Consider the following 6,000-nt stretch of genomic DNA (forward strand, 5'->3'; position numbering starts at 1 on the left):
GTGATTAAAATTCCTTGTTGTTTAAGCTTCTCATGTTGGGTTTTCAATTATTCTCCACAAAAGACATCCTGACTTACACATAGTCATTGAAGAAGGATTCCAGTGTCCTCTGACAATGAACTCCAGCCTCATTGTGACACAGGTTATCCATTTATAAAATCCTTATATAGAAATCTCCCTCCTGGCCGGGCGCGGTGGCTCACGCCTGTAATCCCAGCACTTTGGGAGGCTGAGGCGGGTGGATCATGAGGTCAGGAGATCGAGACCATCCTGGCTAACAAGGTGAAACCCCGTCTCTACTAAAAATACAAAAAAAATTAGCCGGGCGCGGTGGCGGGCGCCTGTAGTCCCAGCTACTCGGGAGGCTGCGGCAGGAGAATGGCGTGAACCCGGGAAGCGGAGCTTGCAGTGAGCCGAGATTGCGCCACTGCAGTCCGCAGTCCCACCTGGGCGACAGAGCGAGACTCCGTCTCAAAAAAAAAAAAAAAAAAAAAAGAAATCTCCCTCCTGCGTAATAATGGGTCCTTGTTATGACATGGATGATGGGTAAACAAGCACAGTGTAACCTCTTGAGCACCTCCACAGTGACTTTCAGATTCCAAGTAAAAAGCATTCCAGAATGTGAAGGAATACGCTGAGCTTATCACACAGGGGCATTGCAGTATGGAGCTATCTAGCAACCAAGTTGAACTCAGTCCAACATCATTTTTACCACTCTGCAACAAATGTCCCCAGGCCTTCCCTTTCTACCTAAAAACCTTATTTGATTCTATTTAAATGTCTGTTAACTTTACTCTTCTGATTTAATCTTATCACTCTCTTCTCAGAAACCTTGAATAACTCACCCATACCTAAGAGATAGAGTCTTTTATCTTATCATGGCACTCAGGGACCTCCCTGGCAGATCCCAAACCATCCTTCACATCTGTCTTCTCTATCTCAGTGCACTTTATTCTCCAGGAACACTGTGGAGAAGGGAGTTACAAATATGGAAAGTGAGGCCAGGCACAGTGGCTCACGCCTGTAATCCCAGTACTTTGGGAGGCCAAGGCAGGTGAATCACCTGAGATCAGGAGTTCAAGACCAGCCTGTCCAACATGGTGAAACCCCGTCTCTACTCAAAATACAAAAATTAGCCAGGCGTGGTGGTGGGCGCCTGTAATCCCAGCTACTCAGGAGGCTGAGGCAGGATAATTGCTTGAACCTGGGAGGTGGAGGTTGCAGTGAGCCGAGATCGCGCCATTGCATGATTGTTGCCTGGGCAACAGAGTGAGACTCCGTCTCAAAAAATATATACATTTATATATGGAAAGTGAGAAAACTAAACTGAACCCTGAGGTGCTGTTTGGAATTGAAGACATTGGTGTAAAATCATAGATCTGAATCTATGTAGACAGCTATGGGAATCTATGTAGGCATGTTCCTGATATAAATCTAGGTATGTTCCTGATGTAAATCTATCTGATGTAAATCAGGAACATTCCTGGATAGATTCCGTGTCCACTGAGAAGTAGAAGCAACAGCACCCCAGTAACAATGCAAACGCCTAGTTGCTGGAAATATCATGAAGTTTTACATCTTTTTGCCCACGTATACCTAATCCTACAGTTTTCTACATTAAAACACCTCGGCTGTGCTCTGCCTACCAAAATTCCATTGAAGTGAAATTACAAAATGTAAAGCACCAAATACATGTCACCAACAATTTTTTATCCCTGACTCTCAATCAAAGTCTGGCTCAAATACTCTCTCTCCTGTGACACTTCGTTGGGAATATGCAAGCAGAATTCATGTCTCTTACCTCTATGCCCATGAATCATTTCCTGTGAGCCTCTAGAGAGCATCAGTGCATCCTTCTTTGTGTTGATGATGGCTGTTTACAAGTTCGGCTCTCCGACATCTCATGGATTTTTGTGGGAGGATGTGACTCTGTTTCTCTTTGTCTTCCTAGCCCCTAGCACAGGACCTGGAAAATATTAGGTGTTCAATAAAGGCATTTGGAATTAGAGGGAGTCTTTCTCCACAAAATAGACTGGAGCTCACTGGCCTGCCTCCAGAGCCAAGCCTTGACCTCATTTGCACTGAACTCTGCCCAAGGAAGCTGACCATTCATAGGGAATCCAGGACAAAGCCACCAGGGCCCTTTGTTCCAGCCCTATTTCTATAGACTATTTCACTTTGCTGAACAAGAGGACGTCTTCAGAGAGCTGACATGCCCGCTTGCCAGGTCTTTCACAGAAATGTTTTATTTGATGCTTTGCTTTTGCTGCAGAGTAAGTCTCTCTCCACTTTGCAGCCAGAATACTGGACACATGAAAGGAATGTTCCTGTTTTGATAACAGCTTCCTTAGAGCTTGGCTCTACTGGGCTGGGCAAGGAAATGACCACATTCTGGCTCCCAGGGAAGGCTGTGGAACTCCAAATATGTGGGACTGAGGGAAGCTCCTGCCCAGGAAGAAAGCTGTTGTCAGACGGAGATGAAAATCCCAGTGTTCTTGGCTCAGGGGGTTTTCTTCATTAACTGTGCAATCAGCAAAGAGCAGTAGAGAGATACTTTGCAGCCCAAGGATCTTAGATGGCGAGAGGCAATGGGAAATCTTCCCATTGAGGTCCCATCTGACCTCCGTGATGGCCTCCATTCATTTTATATTGCTACCAGAACAAACCCCCACAAATTCAGTGGCTTAAAACAACACCTATGTATTATCTCACAGTTCTGTAGCTCAGAAGTCTGGGTACAGTGTGGTTCAACTGGGTCTTCTTTTTACTTTTATTTTTATTTTATTTGTTTAGAGATAGTGTCTTGCTTGCTCTGTCGCCCAGGCTGGAGTAGAAGTGGCACAATCATAGCTTATTGTGAAACCACCATTGCAAAATTATAACTGAGACAGTGAAATAGATCTGATCTAACCAACTCCATCTTGCTTCTAACCTCCAAGCTGTCCTTGCTCATTCCTGGGTGTAGGCCAAAGTAACTTTGGGAGGAATTTAGTTTGTAGTTTATAGTTTAAAACAGCCCTTTCCCAAAACAAACCTTCTTCTTGCCTGGGGACTAGACTGACTTTGTAGGACAAACAAATTAGCCACAAGATTAGAAATTATGATTTAAGAGTCATGTAACTGGAGGCTACAAGATTCTGACCCTCCCCAAATTGCTCCTGGGATAACATCACTATTGTAAAAACTAAGATCAGTGCTTGAGATATTTTGAAGACCCTGCACTTGATGGATCCACTGGCACCACTCAGATTGATAAACTGGCTCATCTGATCTTGCGGTCCCCACCCAGGAACTGACTCAGTGTAAGAGGACAGCTTCGACTCCCTATTATTTCATCTCTGACCTTACTAATCAGCACTGCCGACTCACCGGCCCCCACCCACCAAATTATCCTTAAAAACTCTGATCTCCGAATGCACGAGGAGACTGATTTGAGTAATCATAAAACTCTGGTCTCCTGCACAGCTGGCTCTGCGTGAATTACTCTATTGCAATTCTCCTGTCTTGATAAATCAGCCTTGTCTAAGCAGCAGGCAAGGTGAACCTGTTGGGCAGTTACAATTGCAGCCTTAAACTCCCAGACTACCACCTCAGCCTACCTGAGTAGCTGGGACTACAGGCAGGCATCACCACACCTGGCTAATTTCTGTCTGGTTTTGTTTTGTTTTTTGTAGAGATGGGATCTCACTATATTGCCCAAGCTGGTCTCAAACTCCTGGGCTCAAGTGATCCTCCCACCTCAGCCTTTCAAAGTGCTAGGGTTACAAGTGGGAACCACCACACTCAGAGTGGGTCCTCTTTAGAGTTTCATGGGGTGAAATCAAGCTATCAGCAGAACCACAATCCTTAGTGGGGGCCCCAGAGAAGAATCTGCTTCCAAACTCACCCAGATGCCTGGCCGAATTCAGTTGCCTGTGCTTGCCAGTTGAGGGCCATCCTCAGTTTCTAGAGGCCTCTCCTGAATCCTTGCACAAGGCTCCTACTTCTCAGAGCCAGCAACGGCACACTGAATCCCTTCTCAGAACTGCACATTGAATCTCCTTGACTTCCTTTCTGCTGCGTCTCTCTGACTCCACCCAGAGAGAGTTTCCTGCTTTTAAGAGGGCAGATAATTGAATTGAGCCCACCTGGAGAGTCTCCCTATCTTAAGGTCAGTCATCTACTTCCATCTGTAAACTCCCTTTGGCCATGTAAGGTAACATATTCCCAAGTTCCAGGCATTATGGCGTGGACTTCGCTGGGGGACCATATTGGACCTATGACAAGGCCCTACATTTTCATTACAAAAGTAGGACTCCACCTGGCATGAGTATAATTGGGCTTTTTCTTGGGAGAGTACAGCTGGTCTTTGTTTTGCAATTTGCAGAAAAAAGTTTTAAATCTCCAAATATAGAAAATCTAGGTCTTTGAGCATGTTTCCGAGACACATTACTGTTTATCCTTACGCTTATGAGATTGTACCCACAGCCAATCCCTGACATCTGGGAACTGCCAAGAGGGACAGACAGATCCAGAGAGCCCAGGAATGATGTCCAAGAGGTTCCTCAGGGCTAGGTGAGAGACCAGTATTAGAATACACAGAGCCAGGCATGGCAGATCATGCCTGTAATCCAAGCACTTTGTGAGGCCAAGGCAGGAGGATTGCTTGAGTCTAGGAGTTTGAGATCAGCCTGGGCAACATAGCAAGGCTTTGAATCTAAAAAACAAAACAAAACAACAACAACAAAAACAAACAAACAAAAAAAACGACAGCATCAGTTATTAAAGGACATGCACTTAAAGGTAGGTCCAAAACATGCTGAAATTCCCATTTTTTGAAGGCATGGCCAACACTCAGGGTCTAGGATCATATCTAAGACAAGCTGGAAAAACTGATGATGGGCACAAGTTCTAATGGAAGCAACCAGCCTCCATTATCAGAACTGGGGAGACCTACTTGCAGGTATTTGGTACAGCCAAGGGAAACTGAGATTCAAGAAAGGAAATCCATTTTCTGGAAGAGCTGGGGTAGCAAGCAGGGACTATATAATAAGGAATAAATGCAGAAAGTGGGTTTCTATGTCAAAGCAGGTCCAAAAATGGGATCAGCTAAATAAGAATAGGTAGGCCCTATAGCGGCCCGGCTTTGGGGTTAAATCAGATCCACTGGGCTCTGGGACAAAGTCAAAACTTTAGGGAGTGGGAAGGAGGCCACTTATATGTCCTGTTCAAGGCACGGTAGATATAACTGTGTGCAAATCACATCCCTGCCTTCAAGGATCATATAGTCTAGGAGGCAGTTATTCTACCACGTGGCAGGGCTGTGGCAGCACACAGGAAGAATGAGAAAGGCTTCTAGAAGTGGTTCTGCGTAAAGACCTAATGATCAAGGAAAAGTTAGGTTAATGAATAGGTAGTCTCCAGCAAAGATGGGGCAAGACCTAGAATGGGAAGAGAACATGGCATTTTAGGAGTTTAGCAAGTAGTTTATCAAGAACGTGGCGTATGTAATATGAAGTCCACTTTCCTCCCACTAAAATCTCACTGTCCAATGTTTCATTTTCACTTCGAGCATTTGGACAGTGTTTTAATGCTGTTATTGTTGTGAGAATGTCTGGAATTGGCTAGAAATGTCTCCCTCCTTCTCCCCTCTTCTTCTCCCAATACCCCTGACCCTCACTCCAAATGTCAGGATTCAAGACTAACCAAGTAGCACAAAATTTTATTTCAGCACTGAAAGAGATGGAGCTGAGACTGCTCCTTCAGTGCCTCCTCTATTTGCTGAGGTCCAACTCACTTCTTGGCCCCCCTGGCGGCCTTGGGTGCCATCATGACTGGCACTCCTCTGGGGTTCATAGTCACCAATTTGGAAATGAATCTTGGACCAGAAGGACACACTTCTCTGTTTCTCAGAAATGACTTCCAGCCAGAAAGACATGTGCTTTATTTTTTTTCCACTGAATCTTTATGCTACCTACTCTCTATGTTATCTACTTGATTTGTCTAGTCACGGTCCCTGCT

The 6,000-nt window shown here is 45.0% G+C and overlaps 1 long non-coding RNA gene across 5 annotated transcripts in view; it reads right to left on the reverse strand.

Annotated features, from left to right (window-relative positions):
- LOC105374894 (uncharacterized) overlaps positions 1-4,008 on the reverse strand; it is a 154,998-nt gene extending 150,990 nt beyond the window's left edge. For all 5 annotated transcript variants that reach the window (XR_007059418.1, XR_007059417.1, XR_001743940.2 and 2 more), the window contains exons 1-2: positions 3,887-4,008; positions 1,802-1,966 (exon numbers count right to left, since the gene is read on the reverse strand). This is a non-coding gene — a long non-coding RNA (uncharacterized LOC105374894). The remainder of the gene's footprint in view (positions 1-1,801; positions 1,967-3,886) is intronic.
- Between the last annotated feature and the right edge of the window lie 1,992 nt (positions 4,009-6,000).

Source organism: Homo sapiens, chromosome 6 (assembly GCF_000001405.40).
Source record: "Homo sapiens chromosome 6, GRCh38.p14 Primary Assembly".
In the NCBI taxonomy this organism is placed as follows: Eukaryota; Metazoa; Chordata; class Mammalia; order Primates; family Hominidae; genus Homo; species Homo sapiens.